The sequence below is a fragment of the Homo sapiens genome, chromosome 22 (genome assembly GCF_000001405.40).
Source record: "Homo sapiens chromosome 22, GRCh38.p14 Primary Assembly".
Taxonomy (NCBI): Eukaryota; Metazoa; Chordata; class Mammalia; order Primates; family Hominidae; genus Homo; species Homo sapiens.
Genome location: NC_000022.11, coordinates 24,907,430 through 24,927,578, shown reverse-complemented (window position 1 = coordinate 24,927,578; position 20,149 = coordinate 24,907,430). Strand labels below are relative to the sequence as shown.

Genomic DNA, 20,149 nt, shown 5'->3' with positions numbered 1-20,149 from the left:
TGATCTTGAACTCTTGGCCTCAAGTGATCCTCCTGCTTTGGCCTCCCAAAGTGCTGGGATTACAGGGGTAAGCCACTGTGCCTGGCCCATGCTCCTTTTCAGTGTCACTTTCCAAAGATTCTCATCAGGAAGTACAGTCTATTTCCCTACCCTATGAAGCTGGGCTGAGTCATGTGACTTACTCTGACCAACAGAATGTGGCAGAAATGACTTTATGCCAGAGAAGCTGAGACCAAGAGACAGTGTGTGTTTCTGCTTACCTTCTGGGATCTGCTATCATAGCCATGTAAACAAGCCTAAGCTAGCCTGCTGGAGGATGCAAGATACGGAATCCAGTTTCCCCCACTGCCCTAGTCAACAGCCAGACAACCATCAGAAGCAGAGTTGCCTATCTGGACATCAGCTGACCACAGACACATGAAGAAGTCTGAGAACAGAAGAACCTCCTAGCTGAACCTAGCCTGGGATGCTGACCCACAGAATTATGAGGTAAATACATGGCTGTTTTAAACCACTACTTTTTGGGTCATTTGTAATGCAGCATTACTTGTGGTAAGAGCCAGCTAATACAAGAAGTCAGAAGTGATTCACCTTTTCTGGGAAAAGGCCAGGCAGCTATTACAAAAATCTGACCCCATATAGGGTCACTGGGGTGTGAGTGGGAGGACACAGTCCTCAGAAGCAAGCATTTTTTTCTTTCAAATTAAAAAAAAAAAGACAAAAAAAAACAGATTCACATATTTCTCTGTTTATATATATTTTCTCTATATATAGACACAACTCTTCAGCAAACATTTACAAGATATGTGGGCCACACTGAAAAAAAGAGTGCACTCCGCGGACAGAACGAGTCCCACGCATCCAATTCCAGGACACAGAAACACACACAACATACAGAGATCTGAATAGGCACAGTAAACCAAATAAATATGACTTATTCCAAATCACAACCACAGATGCTCTCTGGAACATCACAAGAGAAGGCAGAGAAGAGATTTTGTGCTGTACTTTGAGACTAGTCTGTTAAAAAAATAAATAGGAATCAGAAGGTCTAGGACCTGGGTCTCACTAAAATAACATCCTCTGTAAAGAACAGCTGAACGGCAAAATAGTTTTCTCCGGAGGGGCCTTTTGCACATTTCTTCCTGTCTTGGGAAGCTAGGGGACGTAGGGGAGGGAGACGTAAGTCTAATGGCAGCCAGAACGTTGCCGTCTCCCGTTTCTGCTTTGGTGGGGGTAGGGTAGGAGCTGGGAGCCGGGAAGCTACTGTAGCCTCGAGTTTCCCACAGAGCTCTCTTCAGGAAGTAAGGGCTGGCTAGACCTCTATCCACCCTGCACCAGAGGCTGGGCAGAGGTTGGAGGTTCAGGTGCAGTTGAAGTTGCTATACCAAGGGAAAGAAGCCTTTACAAGCACACAAGGCAAGGATGCATCCCCGTCCTGGTGTGCTCAGGGTGGGAGGACTAATACACCCCTCCGCAAATGCTTCAATACGCTGCTTTACCTATCCTCTCCCTCTCCAAAATCCCAGCTGCTATTCTCTGACCACCCTAGAGGCGGCAGGTCTCCCGGGAAGAGCCTTTCTCTCTGCTGCTTGCTGGGTTTCCCCCATTCCGGGTGCATTCTCAGAACAGAAGAGCGGGAAAGACTGCTCTATTGAAAGGACAGGTAGGCAGAGTAAACTAGTTCACTTCGGGTCTGTTTGTGGATTGGTGATACTCTGTGTGAAGACCTGGAGAGGATTGTTCCCAGACCTAGCACGGCCCTGGACCCAGTTCATCAGCAGATGTTTCCCAAGGAAAACAGACATCACCCTCTACCCTGGCTGACCTCTGCCTTCCTTTTCCTCCTTTGTCCTGAGTGAGTAACTGCACTTAGAGAAAAGCTGCACCCCACCACCATTAAGTGGCTTTCACCAAACACACACCTTTCCAAGACCCAATACTTGGAAGGAGAGGCGGTTTTCCCTTGCAAGATGGCAGCAGGATACAGACTCTGCCCTGCCTGGGGGACTCTGAGCAGGACCCCAAAGAGCTCTGACCGTCTCATGCCTACACTTTTTGGGTCCACCGCCTATGTGGGGAGATACTTTTCTTGAAAAGAAGAAAACAAGTATCTTCTGGCATCAGACAGAGGAGAAAAAAGGAGAAAATACAACAGATGGAATCCCAGACTCCAAGAGAGATGTGTGAGGGACTCTTGTGTGCCTTTTCTTTTTTTTTTTGAGATGGAGTCTTGAACTGTCGCCCGGGCTGGAGTGCAGTGGCGTGATCTCAACTCACTGCAACCTCCACCTCCCAGGTTCAAGTGATTCTCCTGCCTCAGCCTCCCAAGTAGCTGGGATTACAGGCACCCGCCACCACACCCAGCTAATTTTTGTATTTTTAGTAGAGATGGGGTTTCACCATGTTGGCCAGGCTGGTCTCAAAACTCCTGACCTTGTGATCCGCCCACCTTAGCCTCCCAAAGTGCTGGGATTACAGGTGTGAGCCACCATGCCCGGCCTCCTGTATGCCTTTTCTAAGTGAGGGGAGGCGTCAGGACCAGGGTGGCTTAGCGTCAAAAGAATGGGGGAGGAAGTACATTTGTAGTCCCTTCTCCAAGCCAGTGGTTCTCAAATGGGGGCAATTTTGCCCTGCAGGGAACATTTCGCAATGTCTAGAGACATTTTTGGGGGCTGTCACAACCAGGGGTATGGTTGGGGGATGGCACTACTGGCATCTGGTGAGGCCCGGGATGCTGCTCAGCATCCTACAATGCAGGGGACAGTCCCCTCAAAAAGAATCACCTGGCCCCAAATGTCAGTAATGTCGAGGTGGAGGGTCAATCTCTAAGTCAATCTTCAGCCATGTCCAGAACATCGCCAAAGGCCCCTTGCAGAGGAGCATAGAGGTAGCCCCACACACCTCTTCTACACCAATTTCCAAAAAGAAGTTTCCTCCCCAGGTCTCATCTTACAAGACAGTTTGGAGGGATAGGGAAAGAAGAAGAGGAGACCATTCCGGGCACCAGCAAACAAAGATGGCTCCTCCTCCACCAACAACCTCCACCTCCTGCAAGGGAGGAACGCCAGACTTGGGCAATCTTTGGTCAAACAGGAAAATGTAAGGCTGAATTGAAGGGGTACTCCCTCCACCCCATCTGCCCAGAAGTAAAAGTCAGGGTAGTTTCTTTGCGCACTGAACTCCACGCTTGTGAACAGACACCAGGACCCCGCTCCCGGGGTGCCCATCCAGCCAGGAGGAAAAGTAAGCAGAGGAGCGGGGCAGGGGCAGCTTGGCTGAGGCTGCCGGGGTGAGGTGCCCCTCACTTGTTCTCAATCAGAGTCTGCACCTTGTACACGAGGTCCCGCGCCAGCTTCAGGACTTGCTTGGTGTTGTGTCGCTCAGCCATTTCTGAAAGAGCAGAAAGAAAAATCTCATGAGCCTCCTTCTGTGTCCAGTCTTAGGGTACAATTCCAGCCCCTGGAGGCTTCTCTGGGGGCATCTCCATCACAGATTGACTCAGGAAGCAGAGGCCCTGGAGAAGGCCTCTACCTCTGGACCTTAGTTTCCTCATCTGTAAAATGGGGATTGGAACAGCAGCCACCTCACCAAGTTACTGTGCGGATTGAATGGGATAATGCTGGTTCACAGGATGTGCCATAAAAAGGTGAGGTCGGCCGGGCATGGTGGCTCATGGCTGTAATCCCAGCACCTTGGGAGGCCGAGGCAGGTGGATCACCTGAGGTCGGGAGTTTGAGACCAGCCTGACTAACATGGAGAAACCCTGTCTCTACTAAAAATACAAAACTAGTCGGGTGTGGTGGCGCATGCCTGTAATCCCAGCTACTCAGGAGGCTGAGGCAGAAGAATCGCTTGAACCCAGGAGGCGGAGCTTGTGGTGAGCCGAGATTGCACCACTGCACTCCAGCCTGGGCAACAAGAGCGAAACTCCGTCTCAAAAAAAAATAAAAATAAAAATGAAAAGGTGAAGTCCTTCCACCCCTCTCCTATAAACAGAATGACTGAGAGCAGTGCTGGGCACACAGTAGACGCTGAAAGATATGAAAAGGAGGAAGCAACAGAGGGAGGAAAGATGGAGAAGGAAGAGGAGAAAGGGACAAAAAAACCAAAGAAAAAAATAATTTTATCAAGAGCCACACAATGTGGTCAGACTTCTAAGCCAAATAATCCTAAACGTAGACATTTATCATAAATAAACCATTTAGTAGAAAGAAAAAAAAGAAAAACACTAAAACTAAGACATGGTTCCCAAACTGGGTACCAAGGTACCCCAGCGTGTCATAGTGATTTGCAGGGGCACTGTGGAGTATTTGGGTATTTCGAGGGAAGCGTGGGAATACTCCATCTAAGTTGAGCACCATGTCAACTGTTAGCTGGAGTGAGTTCACAAATTTCACTACACTCCCATCAATAACTTTCTTCTTTTTTTTTCTTTTGAGACAAGGTCTCACTCTGTTGCCCAGGGTGGAGTGTGGTGTGGTGTGATCTCGACTCACTATAACCTCCACCTCCCAAGCTCAAGTGATTCTCATGCCTCCTCTAATCCCAACCTCCTGAGTAGCTGGGATTACAGGTATGCACCATCACGCTGGGCTAATTTTTGTATTTTTAGTAGAGACAAAGTTTTGCCATGTTGGCCAGAATGGTCTGGAACTCCTGACCTCAAGCAATCCACCCACCTTGGCCTGCCCAAGTGCTGAGATTATAGGCGTAAGCCACTGTACCCAGGGTCCCATCAATGACTTTGTCTTTGCAAAGCTAGGTTTTCAGCAGCTGCTGCAACAGAAAGTAAGTGCCATGGGCCAGGCCCGGTGGCTCACGCCTGTAATCCCAGAACTTTGGGAGGCCGAGGCGGGTGGATCATGAGGTCAGGAGATCGAGACCATCCTGGCTAACATGGTGAAACCCCATCTCTACTAAAAATACAAAAAAATTAGCTGGGTGTGGTGGTGGATGCCTGTAGTCCCAGCTACTTGGGAGGCTAAGGCAGGAGAATGGCATGAACCTGGGAGGCAGAGCTTGCAGTGAGTCGAGATCGCGCCACTGCACTCCAGCCTGGGTGACAGAGCAAGACTCCGTCTCAAAAAAAAAAAAAAGGCCGGGCACAGTGGCTCATGCCTGTAATCCCAGATCTTTGGGAGGCCGAGGTGGGCGGATCACGAGGTCAAGAGATCGAGACCATCCTGGCTAACACGGTGAAACCCCATCTCTACTAAAAATACAAAAAATTAGCCAGGTGTGGTGGCGGGCGCCTGCAGTTGCAGCTATTCAGGAAGCTGAGGCAGGAGAATGGCGTGAATCCCACAGGTGGAGCTTGCAGTGAGCTGGATTGGCTACTGCACTCCAACCTGGGTGACAGAGCGAGACGCCATCACAAAAAAAAAAAAAAAAAAAAAGAAAGTAAGTGCCATGTGAAAATCAATATGGAATAGAAAACAAAAGAGGTGGTGTCCAATCTGATTCCAAGGCTTGAGAAGGTATGCAAAGCCCAATGGGTGCATACACCCCATTAGCAATTGTGCTTATTCGGGAATGATGTAAAAATGTTATTTTCTTTAGATATATATGTATTATTGGCTAGGCACGGTGGTTCACACCTGTAATCCCAGTACTTTGGGAAGCTGAGGTGGGCAGATCACCTGAGGTTGGGAGTCTGAGACCAGCCTGACCAACATGGAGAAACCCTGTCTCTACTAAAAAAATACAAAATTAGTATTTTGTGGTTGTGCATGCCTGTAATCCCAGCTACTCAGGAGGCTGAGGCAGGAGAATCACTTGAACCCAGGAGGCGGAGGTTGTAGTGAGCTGAGATCATGCCATTGTACTCCAGCCTGGGCAACAAGAGTGAAATTCCATCTCAAAAAAAAAAAAAGATACATATGTATTATTTTTTCAATGGCTTCTAAATTGTTAGGATATAAATACTTATTAAGCGGTTTGGACTTAACTACTTACTAAATGAAACTTTTGGCCTGGGGTGCTGTTATAATTTTACAGAGACACTAGGGGTGCATGAATTGAGAAAATTTGGGAATCTTTATGCTAACAGATGAATTGCTTTGGACTCTCGATCACACCTTCAAACTGAAAATAACCTACATGCTAATGATAAGAAATGGTTCAGTAAGTTATAGAATAGTCACTTGAGATATATTTTGTAGTTTTAAAAAATGACTGGCTGGGCACAGTGGCTCACACCTATAATCCCAGCACTTTGGGAGGCCAAGGCAGACGGATCGCCTGAGGTCAGGAGTTCTAGACTAGCCTGGCCAACATGGCAAAACTCTGTCTCTACTAAAAATATAAAAATTAGCCGGGCGTGGTGGTGCGTGTCTGTAATCCCAGCTACTCAGGAGGCTGAGGCGGGAGAATCACTTGAACCTGGGAGGCGGAGGTTGCAGTGAGCTGAGATCGTGCCACTTCACTCCAGCGCGGGTAACAGAGTGAGACTCCGTCTCAAAAAAAAAAAAAGATTATATGAAAGACAATAGTTGAAATATTAAGTGAAAAAAGGCATATACAAGTGGATTCTGATTATGTAAAAACATAAAAATAAACATGACTGTGGTTTCCTGGATTAGACCCTAGAACAGAAAAAGGATACTAGTGAAAAACCAGGTGAAATCCAAATAAAGCCTGTAGTTTAATAGATGGTAACGTGCCAATGATAATTTCTTAGTTTTGGCAAATGTACCAGGGTTATGTAAATGCTAACAGTAGGCAAAGCGAGGCCAAGGTATCGTGCATTCTCTGTACATCTAAATCTAAAACAGTTCTCAATCTACAATTTTAGTAGACAATTAAAATGCAAAATTATTCCCCCAAAAAGTTTACTTAAATTAAGAACCCTAATAATGTTTCAAAAGTGAGGTCACAGTTGGCTTTTTTCTTTTGTTTTTTTCCAGAACTTTCTTTCATTAAAAACATTTTTAAATAGTGATAACAGTGGCAATAGCTTTTGTTTATTGGGTCCCTCCTATGAGCCAGGTACCACGTGCTGGGATTTAACCATGTTGTCTCCTGTAATCCTCTGGACCTCCCTGTGAGGGAGGGAGTGTTAGTACCATTTTATCCCTGAAGAATCCGAGGCCTAGAGACGTGAAGTCACTTGGACAAAGTCACACAGCTCCCAGGAGCCTGGATCAGAATTCGCATCTGTCTGATTTCAAAGGCTGTGTCTTTTTCGTGTTACTCAAATTGCTGCCCTGGGCCTGCTTTTCCTATGCATGTCAACCCTCCAAAGCAGACACTGCTAGCCCATTTCACAGATGAGGAAGTGGATGTTTAGAGAGAGGGGAAGTGACTTGACCATGGGCACAGCTGGTCAGCGATAGAACCAGACTTTGCCCCTGAGCTGATTTCAACATCTGTGGTCCCCCTGCCAGATCCCTGAGAAAAATGCACCCTCAGCATTACAAGATGTGAACTCGTCCTTTTGGAAATAGCCATAAGAAGTGTGCAGAGCCCTCTTTATCCCCTTCACCATGCATCCATCTCAGCCCATCTTCATTCCTCCTGAGATGCCCAAAAGGGGCCTCCAGAAGCCTGCACCCCTCTCATGAGGCCCCAGTCATGTGGGTACCATTAAAGAATTTGATGATGTCTGTGAAATCCATGTTGTTCTCCAAAATGATGTCACGGTAGACTTCCACCAGAGCCAGCGCAATGAACAGGACGTAGTGCGCAGAGGAGACGTGTTTGGCTGCCCAGATGGTCTCCCAGACCAAGAAGACGTCATCATAGACGAGTTCTGCCAAGACACCAACACACATGGGGAGAGAATTGGTGACGGGGCTCACAGTGTTGCCCTGCCTTGGGAAGCCCCCCAAGGTGGGAAAATCCCGGGCAAGTTTTGCCTTATGCCTGTGCCCTGGTGCAGTGGATAGAACTCAGGTCAGAAGGCAGGAGACCTGGGCTCTGTCATTTGACCACCAGAAACCTCAGTTTTCCCCATCTGTAGGATGGGCTGTGTAAGCCAGGTGAGTTCTAAGTTCCTTCCAGCTCTGACATTCTGTAAGTGGCAGAACCAGGCACGTGCAGGTATGAATTACATGGATCTGTCCTTGCCCTGCCCTTTGACAAGCAACACCTGCTATCCCTGCACCTCCATCTCCATTAGCACCCATAGAGCCCTTTCTTCTTTCCCCCCACACACTGGCAGAGCCGGCTGTGGCCTCTGAGTCTAGTGAAGAGAAAGAATAGAGCAACGGTTCAAAGCAAGCCTTTGGCTGGGCATGGTGGCTCATGACTGTAATCCCAGCACTTTGGGAGGCCGAGGCGGGTGGATCACGAGGTCAGGAGTTCAAGATCAGCCTGGCCAAAATGGTGAAACCCCCATCTCGACTAAAAATACAAAAAAAATTAGTCAGGCATGGTGGCAGGTGCCTGTAATCCCAGCTACTCAAGAGGCTGAGGCAGAGAATTGCTTGAACCCAGGAAGTGGAGGCTGCAGTAAGCCGAGATTGCACCACTGCACTCCAGCCTGGGTGACAGAGCCAGACTTCATCTCGAAAAAAAAAAAAAAAAAAAAAAAAAGGCCGGGTGTGGTGGCTCACACCTGTAATCCCAACACTTTGGGAGGCTGAGGTGGGTGGATCACCTGAGGTCAGGAGTTTGAGACCAGCCTGGCCAAATATGGTGAAACCTGCCTCTACTAAAAATACAAAATAATTAGCCAGGTATGGAGGCGGGTGCCTGTAATCCCAGCTCCCAGCTACTCGGGAGGCTGAGGCAGGAGAATCATTTGAACCTGGGAGGCGGAGGTTGCAGTGAGCCAAGATCGCGCCATTGCTCTCCAGCTTGGGCAACAAGAGTAAGACTCCGTCTCCAAAAAAGAAAAAAAAAAAGAAAAGCAAGCCTTCCTATGTCCGATAAACTTGGTGTGAATCCTTCCTTCCTCCATCACTTGCTGGCAAGGGGAGCCTGGGGTAGTTACTTCTTCATGAGCCTGTCTCTTTCCTCATCTGTAAGTGGGCTGAAGCTGATAACAGAAAAAGACTAAAGAGATAATACATACAAATGACTCAGCACAGTGCGTGGCACTAAAACACTCCATACATGTCAGATTTTTTTTTTTTTTTGAGATGGAGTCTTGCTCTGTCACCCAGGCTAGAGTGCAATGGTGTTATCTCGGCTCACTGCAACCTCCGCCTCCCAGGATCAAGCGATTCTCCTGCCTCAGCCTCCTGAGTAGCTGAAACTATAGGCATGTGCCACCATGCCCGGCCAATTTTTTGTATTTTTAGTAGAGACAGGTTTTCACCATGTTAGGTCTCAATCTCCTGACCTCATGATCTGACCGCCTTGGCCTCCTAAAGTACTAGGATTACGGGCATGAGCCACTGCACCCGGCCCATGTCAGATACTATAATTATTAACATCACCCCAAATCTGAACAATAGCAACAAGGTACTGTGTTATACATCACTTTTATGTCATGTTGGAAACGTGCATGAAATAGTCCCTGCTTCATGGGCTTTAGAGTTCTTGGGCTCTGAAAAGCAGCACAGCAGAATGAAAGAGATGGGTTCAAGTCCTGGCTGTACTCACCCTAGCCCTGAAGTTAACTCTCCCTAGCTCTGAACTTAACCCTTCTCAGCCTCGGTTTCCTCACTGGTAAGATGAAGATCTTAACAGCACCTACTACAGAGTGTCAGTGCAAGATAAGGCAGGTGAAACGGTAGTCTGGACTCCATAAACATGTGCTTCTCTCCTCTGCTGCCTCTGTTGCCAACCCCTCAACCTCACCTCCACGGGATCTTTTCCCCTGAAAGTTCTGCTACAAAGAGTCTGGACACAGGTCCCCAATTTAAAGTCTGTACCTCGCTTGAAATCCAGCAGGAACCAGCGGTAGCAGAAGTAGAAGTGAGTATAGTCCCCGTTCTGATGCATCAGCTCAAACAGCTCTGAGTCCAGGATCTGTCAAGGAAGGAAAGGCAGCATCAGCCTCCTGGGAAAAGGTTGGAGCAGAGGAGACAGCTGAATAAATGGTGGTACATCCACACACCAGACACCATACGGTCCTTAACAGCCAGTTACAGTTTAAAAAATGGGAAAAGATCTGAATAGACATTTGTCCAAAGAAGATTCACAAATGGCCAAGCGGCATATGAAAGATGCTCAGCATCCTTAATCCTTAGGAAAATGCAATTCAAAACCACAACAAGATACCAATTCACACGCACTAGGATAGTTAAAATTAAAAATGACAGACAATAAAAAGTGTTGGCGAGGATGCAGAGAAACTGGAACCCCCATACACTGCTCCTGAGAATGTAAAATGGTGTGTGCTGTGGAAAACAGTGTGGTAGTTCCTCAAAAACTTAAATACATCATTTCCATATGATGCAGCAATTCCACTCTTAGGTATATACCCAAGAAGAATGAAAACATCTGTTGGTCAGGTGTGGTGGCTCAGCACTTTGCGAGGCCAAGGCAAGAGGATCACTTGAAGCCAGGAGTTTGAGACCAGCCTGGGCAACATAGCAAGACCCTGTCTCTAAAAAAAAAAAAAAAAAAAAGAATTTTTTATTAGCCTGGCATGGTGGCCTGGGCATGTAGTCCCAGCTACTCAGGAGGCTAAAGTGGGAGGATCACTTGAGCCCAGGAGTTCAAGGCTGCAATGAACTATGATTACACCACTGAACTCCAGCCTGGGTGACAGAGTGAGACCCTATCTAAAAAAACAAAATGAAAACAAAAACATATCCACATAAAAATCTGTACATGAATGACTGTGTGTAATGTGTTATTCATAATAGCCAACAACTGGGAAACAACTCAAATGTCCATCAAGACATGAATGGATAAATAAAAAGTGGCCTATCCATACAATCTAATTTAATATTATCTCGTAATAAAAACAAATTTTTTTTTTTTGAGACTGAGTCTCACTCTATTGCCCAGGCTGAAGTGCAGTGGTGCGATTTCAGCTCACTGCAACCTCTGCCTCCCAGGTTCAAGCGATTCTCGTGCCTCAGCCTCCCAAGTAGCTGGGATTACAGGCGCCCGCCACCAGGCCTGGCTAATTTTTGTTATTTTTAATAGAGACGGACGGGGTTTCACCATGTTGGCCAGGCTGGTCTTGAACTCCTGGCTTCAGATGATCCACCCGCCTTGGCCTCCCAAAGTGCTGGGATTACAGGAGTGAGCCACCGTGCCTGGCCTCGAACTAAGTTTTGATACATGCTACAATGCATCATACATACAGGATAAACCTTGACATCATTATACTAGGTAAAAGAAGCCAGTCACAAAAGGCCACATATTGTATGATTCCATTTACATGAAATGTTTAGAAAAGGCAAATCCACGGAAACAGAAAGTAGCTCCTTGGTTTTCAGGGGCTGGGGAGATGGAGGGGATGGGGAGTGGTTGTTAGTGAAGAATTTCTTTCTGGGGTAATGAAAATGTTCTGAAATTGGTGTTGTTGCATAACTCTGTGAATAAACGAAAAGCCACTGAATCGTACACTTCAAAAGGGTAAATTTTATGTATCTAAATTATATTTTAACAAAACTCTTATAAAAAAAAACAGATGGTGGACGAATACCTCCAGCTATTGGATATGCTATTCAGTGGGAAAAAAACATGTTTGAAAAATAATGTACAGAAAGAAAAGTATGTACAAATGACTCTAATTATGGAAAACATGTACATAGAAAATGGGCAAAGCATATGAATAGGCACTTCACAATCCAAATGAACCAAAAACTAGAAGATACTCAATTTCACTGTCAATCAAGACAATGCAAACAAAATCACAATGAAAAAAACTGAATGAAGAGGACATACTATTTGATCGCACAGCAGGGTAACTATGGTCAATAATAATTTCACTGTACATTTTAAAATAACTAAAAGTGTATAATTGGATTGTTTGGAGCACAAAGGATAAATGCTTGAGGGATTGGAAACTCTATTTTCCACAAACTCTATTTTCTTATTTCACATTGCATGCCTGTCTCAAAACAACTCATGTACTCCACATATATATACACCTATTATGTACCCACAAAAATTAAAAATAAAAAAAATTATAAATCACAATGGGATGCTCGATCATATCCAAGAGATTGGCAAAAATATATAAGTGTGACAATATCAAGTGAGGATGGTGTGTGTTGAAATCCTTACCATACTGCCCTGGAGCATTAAGAAACTAGTACAATCACTTTAAGAGTGATTCGGTTGTGCCTGATAAAACTGAGGATGTGCATTCCCTCTGCTCCAGCAATTGGACTCTGAGTAGATGCCCAAGCAAAGTTGTTGCGTGCATGCAGCAGGGATGCACACAAGAATTTCAGTGCAGCGCTGTTTGTTTATTTATTTATTTATTTATTTATTTTGAGACGGAGTCTCGCTCTGTCGCCCAGGCTGGAGTCCAGTGGCGCGATCTCGGCTCACTGCAAGCTCCGCCTCCCGGGTTCACACCATTCTCCTATCTCAGCCTCCGGAGTAGCTAGGACTACAGGCGCCCGCCACCGCGCCCAGCTAATTTCTTCGTATTTTTAGTAGAGACGGGGTTTCACCGTGTTAGCCATGATGGTCTCAATCTCCTGACCTCGTGATCCGCCCGCCTCAGCCTCCCAAAGTGCTGGGATTACAAGCGTGAGAAACCGTGCCCGGCCGCAGCACTGTTTATAAAGGCCAAAAACAAAACCCCAAATTCCCCAAAGCAAAAGCAAAACCAAACCAAATAAAAACAGCCTAAATGACCACCAACAGGAAAATGGATCCAAATCAAATGTGATAGAATGCGTTGTACTCCTAACACAAAAGACTGTACTTCCGGGAAAGAGGAATCAACTGCCCCGTGGTTGACGAGCCTCTCAAACTCCTTACTGAGTATAAAGACGAGCTGCACAAGAGTTCATACCATTTAAAATATTTATGTAAAGTGGGGAGTAAAGAAACAGAGTTGTATGCTGTTTAGGAATATATGCATATATTGTAAAAGAATTTTTAAAAATGCATTATAATGGTGAACATAGGAATCTGCAAAGTGCTTACCACTGGGAGGACAGGAGTGATGGGGAAAAGCCATCAAGAAGGGGTACACGAATAATGAAAAATCTATGGTTAATTTTTTTTTGGGGGGGGGGACAGAGTCTCGCTCTGTCACCCAGGTTGGTGTGCAATGGGGCTATCTCGGCTCATTGCAATCTCCACCTACCGGGTTCAAGCAATTCTCCTACCTCAGCCTCCTGAGTAGCTGTAGCTGGGATTATAGGCGTGTGCCACCACACCTGGCTAATTTTTGTATCTTTTTTTTTTTTTTTTTTGAGATGGAGTCTTGCTCTGTCGCCCAGGCTGGAGTGCAGTGGCGCCATCTCAGCTCACTGCAAGCTCTGCCTGCTGGGTTCACACCATTCTCCTGCCTCAGCCTCCTGAGTAGCTGGGACTTTAGGCACCCGCCACCAGGCCTGGCTAATTTTTTTGTATTTTTTTAGTAGAGACAGGGTTTCACCGTGTTAGCCAGGATGGTCGCGATCTCCTGACCTCGTGATCCGCCCGCCTCAACCTCCCAAAGTGCTGGGATTACAGGCTTGAGTCACTGCACCCGGCCAATTTTTTGTATTTTTAGTAGAGACAGTGTTTCACCGTGTTAGCCAGGATGATCTCGATCTCCTGACCTCGTGATCCACCCACCTCAGCCTCCCAAAGTGTTGGGATTACAGGCATGAGCCACCGCACCCCGGCCAATGTTTGTATTTTTAGTTAGAGATGGGGTTTCACCATGTTGGCCGGGCTGGTCTCAAACTCCTGACCTCAAGTGATCCGCCCGCCTCTGCCTCCCAAAGTGCTGGGATTACTGGCATGAACCACCACCCCAGGCCTATGGTTAATGTGTTATTTCTTGGGGAGGTGGGGGTGGAAACATGGGTGTTCATTATATTACTCTTTTACCTTTCTTATGTCCAAAATACTTTGTAGTATTTTAAAGTTCCACTAAAGAAGAAGTCAGAGCTAACTGTAGCCCCACTGCTAGTGTGTAGATAATAAAGCATCCATAATATTTACTCAAGTTAACACATTTGCATTCCTTCTAATCAAAGGGTTGAGTGTCTTAATTCCTCTGGGGAGTAGATATACCAATCGCTATGAATGCCAAAGAGCTAGCATTTATTACAATACTTCTCAAAATCGAGCTTGCACCAGAATTACCTGGAGAGCTTCATATGGCACAGACTCCTGGGCCCAACTCAGAGATTTTTATTCGGTGGAGGAAAGGTGCCCAGTAATTTGCACTTCTTTTTTTCTTTCTTTTTTTTTTTTTTTTTTGAGATGGAGTCTTGCTCTGTCGCCCAGGCTGGAGTGCAGTGGCTCGATCTCGGCTCACTGCAAGCTCTGCCTCCCAGGTTCACGCCATTCTCCTGCCTCAGCCTCCAGAGTAGCTGGGACTACAGGCACCTGCCTCCATGCCCTGCTAATTTTTTTTGTATTTTTAGTAGAGATGGGGTTTCACCGTGTTAGTAATTTGCACTTCTAACAAGTTGCCAGGTGAGGCTGATGTTGCCAGCCCGTGGACTATGCTCTGAGAGGCACTGACATGCACTGTGCTAAGCACTATAAAATCATTAGTTTACTTCATTTCCATGATAATTCTAATAATTTATTGGGACTCATATAAGTGAGAAAACCTATTTCCCAGATAAGAAAACTGAGGCCCACAGAGATAAGAGTATATGCTGAGTTTGTATGGCAGAAATACAAACCTGGATTCCAATCCAGGTGGGCTCTAAATAGCTCAGTCTGGAGCCACTAAGCTTTACTAACTGTTTCCCAAAAAAGTCCAAAGCAAGAATGGATGCTGGGTCATACCTGGATCAACGATCTCATGTTTGCAAAGTGCGTGTCCATGGCGCCTCCGTGGGGGAAGTTCTGGTTCATCCTCTTCATGAGCTCCGTGAAGCAGCTGAAGGCAAGGGCCTCTGAGAAAGCATCACAGAACAGTCAGATGCCCCGCTGCCCAAGTGATATGGTTCAGATGTTTGTCCTCTCCAAATCTCATGTTGAAATATGACCTCCAATGTTGGGGGTGGACCTTTTTTGTATTTTTAGTAGAGACGGGGTTTCACCGTGTTAGCCAGGATGGTCTTGATCTCCTGACCTCGTGATCTGCCTGCCTTGGCCTCCCAAAGTACTGGGATTACAGGCCTGAGCCACTGCACCTGGCCAAAAGGCTTTATTTTTCAGAAAAGTTTTGATTTACAGAAAAACTGAGAAGACAGGAAAGACTTCTCATGCACCCCACACGTGGTTTCCTCTATTAATATCTGGACATTAGCATGGTACATTTGTTGAACCAATACGGACACATTATGAACTAAAGTCCATATTGTATTCAGATTTCCTTAGCGTGTACTGAATGTCATTTTTCTGTTCCAAGCTCTCATCCAGAACAGCACATTACATCAATTGGTTATGTTCCCTTAAGCTCCTCTTGGCTGTCGCAGTTTCTCAGGCTTTTCTTGTTTTTGATGACCTTGATAGTTTTTTTTTTTTTTTCCTTTTTTTTTAAGACAGAATCTCGCTCTGTCGCCCAGGCTGGAGTGCAGTGGCGCAATCTTGGCTCACTGCAAGCTCCGCCTCCCAGGTTCACGCCATTCTCCTGCCTCAGCCTCCCAAGTAGCTGGGACTACAGGCGCCCGCCACCAAGCCCAACTAATTTTTTTGTCTTTTTAGTAGAGACGGGGTTTCACCGTGTTAGCCAGAATGGTCTCGATCTCCTGACCTTGTGACCTGCCTGCCTCAGCCTCTCAAAGTGCTGGGATTAAAGGCGTGAGCCACCGCGCCTAGAGACCTTGATAGTTTTGAGGCGTACTGGTCAGGTATTTTTGCAGGATGCTGCACTATTAGTAATGGAATTTATCTGATGCCTTTCTCATGGTAAGACTGGGCTATGGGTTATCGAGAGGAAAACCACAGAGGTAATGGGCCAGTTTAATCACATCATAAGGGTATATACTGTCACCATGATTTATGACTGCTGATGTTGGCCATGGTCACCTGGCTGAGGTCGTGTTTGTCAGGTTTCTCATCCCATCACTGCCTTCCATACTGCACTTTTTGGAAACAAGTCACTATGTGCAGTCCGTGTCTAAAGTGTAGGTAGTTGGCCAGGCATGGTAGTTCATGCCTGTAATCCCAGCTACTCGGGAGGCTGAGGGAGAAGAATTGCTTGAACCTGGGAGGCGGAGATTGCAGTGAGCTGAGATGGCACCATTGCACTCCAGCCTGGGCAACAAGAGTGAAACTCCATCTCAAAAAAAAAAAAAAAAAAAGTGGGGAATTATGCTCCCCATTTATTATGTATTTATTTATTTAATTAATTTTTGAGACAGGGTCTCATTCTGCCACCCAGGCTGGAGTGCAGTGGCACAATCACGGCTCACTGCAGCCTCGACCTTGGCAGCCTCAAGTGATCCTCCTGCCTCAGCCTCCTGAGTAGCTGGGACCACAGGTGTCTGCCAACACACCTGGCTAATTTTTCTATTTTTTGTAGAGGTGACGTTTCACCATGTTGCCCAGGCTAGTCACAATCTGCCCACCTCCACCTCCCAAAGTGCTGAGGTTACAGGCTGAGCCACCACGCCTTGCCTATTTATTTTATTTTATTTATTTATTTTGAGACAGAGTCTTGCTGTGTCACCAAGGCTGGAGTGCAGTGGCACGATCTTGGCTCACTGCAACCTCTGTCTCCTGGGTTCAAGTGTTTCTCCTGCCGCAGCCTCCCGTGTAGCTGGAATTACAAGTCCCCACCACAATGCCTGGCTAACTTTTGTATTTTTAGTAGAAATGGGGTTTCACCATGTTGGCCAGGCTGGTTTCCAACTCCTGACCTCAAGTGATCCACCTGCCTCGGCCTTCCAAAGTGCTGGGATTACAGGTGTGAGCTACTGGGCCTGGACTTATTTATTACATTTTAGAGACAGAGTCTTGCTGTCCCCCAGGCTTGGAATGCAGTGGCATGATCATAGCTCACTGCAACCTCCAACTCCTGGGCTCAAGCAATCCTCTTGTCTTAGCCTCCTGAGTAGCTGGGACTGCAGGTGTGCACCACCATGCCCAGCTAATTTTTAAATTTTTATAGAGATGGAGTCTCACTATGTTGCTCAGGCTGGTCTCAAACTCCTGATCTCAAGCAATCCTCCTGCCTCCCAAAGTGCTAGGATTATAGGTGTGAGCCATTGCACCCAGCCCCCATTTTTTTAACAGGTTTATTGAGATTCTCATATAAAATTCACCCTTTAAATGTACCACTTAGTGGTTTTAGTACATTCACAATGTTGTGCAATCACCACTATTAGTTCCAGAACATTTCTTTACCCCCCCAACCCCAAAATCCCTATATCAATGAAGCAGCAACTTCACATCTCTTTCTCCCCCAAGTCCCTGTCAACGACTAGTCTTTCTGTCTCCATGGATTTGTCTATTCTGGACATTTCATATAAATGGAATCACACCATTTGTGAACTTTTGTGTCTGGCTTCTTTCACTTAGCATTATGTTTTCAAGGTTCACCCACATTGTAGTTTGCATCAGAACATCATCCTTTTTTTGCCAAATAATATTCCATTGTATGGATATACCACATTTTGTTTATGCATTCATAATTTGATGGACATTTGGACTGTTTCCACTTTTTTGGGTATTATGAATAATGCTATTATGAACATATATGTACAGGTATTTGTATGCACATATATTTTCAATTCTCTTAGGCATATATCTACGGATGAAATTGCTGGGTCGTATGATAACTCTATGTTTATTACTATGAGAAACTGCCAGACTGTTTTTTAAAGTGGCCAAACCAGCCAGGCATGGTCGCTCACGCCTGTAATCCCAGCACTTTGGGAGGCCAAGGTGGGTGGATCACCTGAGGTCAGGAGTTCGAGACCAGCATGGCCAGCATGGTGAAATCCCGTCTCTACTAAAAATACAAAAATTAGCCAGATGTGGTGGTGGGCGCCTGTAATCCCAGCTACTTGGGAGGCTGAGGCAGGAGAATTGCTTGAACCCAGGAGGTGGAGGTTGCAGTGAGCTGAGATGGTGCCATTGCACTCCAGCCTGGGTGACAGGATGAGACTCCATCTGAAAATAATAATAATAATAATAAATAAATAAATAATAAAGTGGCCAAACCATTTTACAATTCCACCAGCAATGTCCAAAGCTTCCAATTTCTCCATATTCTTATCAACCCGTGATTTTCTATTGTTTTGATTCTAGCCATCCCAGTGTATATGAAGTGGTATCTCACTGTGGTTTTGATTTCCATTTTCCTAATGAGTAACGATGTAGAACAGCAGTCCTCAACTTTTTTGTTACCAGACACCAGTTTCCTGGAAGACAATTTTTCCATGGACAGGGAGTGGAGTCGGGGGGATGGTTTCTGGATGAAACTGTTCCACCTCAGATCATCAGGCATTAGATATTCAGAAGGAGTGCACAACCTAGACCCCTCACATGCACAATTCACAATAGGGTTCACGCTCCTATGAGAATTTAATGCCACCGCTGATATGACAGGAGGAGGGAGGTGGAGCTCAGGCTGTAATGCTCACTAGCCTACTGCTCACCTCCTGCCGTGCGGCAAGGTTCCTGTCTGTGGCACAGGGCTTGGGGCCCCGATGTAGAGCATCCCTTAATGTGCTTATTGGCCATTTGCATATTAGCCATTTGCATATCTTCAATTCTATTGAGAAATGTCTATTCAAATCCCTCACCCACTTTAATCAGGTTGTCTTTCTTTCTTTTTTTTTTTTTGAGATGGAGTCTCGCTCTGTCGCCCAGGCTGGAGTGCAGTGGCGCGATCTCGGCTCACTGCAAGCTCTGCCTCCTGGGTTCATGCCATTCTCCTGCCTCAGCCTCCCGAGTAGCTGGGACTACAGGCGCCCGCCACCACGCCCAGCTAATTTTTTGTATTTTTAGTAGAGACAGGGTTTCACCATGTTAGCCAGGATGGTCTCGATCTTCTGACCTCGTGATCTGCCCGCCTCGGCCTCCCAAAGTGCTGGGATTACAGGCGTGAGCCACCGCGCCTGGCCAGGTTGTCTTTTTACCGTTGAATTGTAAGAGTTGTTTATATATTTTGGTTACAAGTCCTTTATCACGCATATGACTTGCAAATATTTTCTTCTAGTCTTTGGGTTCTTTCCACTTTCTTGATGGTGTTCTTTGAAGTACAAAAGTTTTTAATTTTGATGAAGTCTAATTTGCCTATTTTTTCTTTCTTTATGTTTTTGGTGTCATATCTAAAAAAAATTCCCTAGCCCAAGGTGACAAAGATTTACTCCTGTTTTAAATTTTACAGTTTTAGTTCTTACATTTAGGTCTATGATCCATTTTGAGTTAGTTTGTTGTATGTGGTGTGAGGTAAGGGTTCAACTTCAATCTTTTGCATATGTCTGTCCAGTAGTTCTTGCACCATAAGTTGAGAAGACTGTTTTTCCTCACTGAGTTGAATTGTCTTAGTATCTCTGTCAAAATCAATTGACCATCAATGTAAGGGCTTACTTATGGGCTCTCAATTCTATTCCATTGATCTACATGTTGATCCTTACAGAAATATCACTATTTTAAGTATCTTTGTAGTAGGTTTTGAAATCAGGTACTGTGAGTCCTGCAACATCTTTTTTTTTTTTTTTTTTTTTTTTGAGATGGCGTCTTGCTCTGTCACCTAGGCTGGAGTGCAGTGGCGCGATCTCAGTTCATTGCAAGCTCCGCCTCCCGGGTTCATGCCATTCTCCTGCCTCAGCCTCCTGAGTAGCTGGAACTACAGGTTCCTGCCACTGTGCCCAGCTAATTTTTTGCATTTTTAGTAGAGATGGGGTTTCACCATGGTCTCGATCTCCTGACCTCGTGATCTGCCCACCTCAGCCTCCCAAAGTGCTGGGATTACAGGCGTGAGACACTGCGCCCGGCCAACATATCCTTTTAAAAATTGTTTTGGCTATTCTAAATCCCTTGAATTTCCATATCAACTTTAGGGTCAGCTTGTTAATTTTTGCAAAAAAACCAAAAAACCAAAAAAAACAACAACAAAAAACAAAGGCAGCTGGGATTTTTGACAGAGATTGCACTGACTTTACAGATCATTGGAGAGCATTGCTACCTTAACAACACTAAGTCTTCCAAT

At 45.8% G+C, this 20,149-nt stretch overlaps 1 protein-coding gene across 4 annotated transcripts in view, besides 1 other annotated feature; it reads right to left on the bottom strand.

Annotated features, from left to right (window-relative positions):
• Positions 1-20,149, bottom strand: part of SGSM1 (small G protein signaling modulator 1) — a 121,368-nt gene continuing 101,219 nt past the window's right edge. For all 4 annotated transcript variants that reach the window (NM_001039948.4, NM_133454.4, NM_001098497.3 and 1 more), the window contains 4 exons: positions 14,827-14,936; positions 9,825-9,921; positions 7,586-7,753; positions 1-3,393 (listed from right to left, as the gene is read on the bottom strand). In NM_001039948.4, the coding sequence (NP_001035037.1) occupies positions 3,305-3,393; positions 7,586-7,753; positions 9,825-9,921; positions 14,827-14,936 (464 nt within the window). In that variant the 3' untranslated portion in view covers positions 1-3,304. The remainder of the gene's footprint in view (positions 3,394-7,585; positions 7,754-9,824; positions 9,922-14,826; positions 14,937-20,149) is intronic.
• Positions 15,517-15,676: a silencer, noted in NCBI's record as "fragment chr22:25307870-25308029 (GRCh37/hg19 assembly coordinates)". NCBI's record gives its function as "represses an EF-1alpha promoter that drives an FKBP-Casp9 reporter gene in an ReSE screen in K562 erythroleukemia cells {active_cell/tissue: K562}" and the evidence as "EXISTENCE:reporter gene assay evidence [ECO:0000049][PMID:32094911]".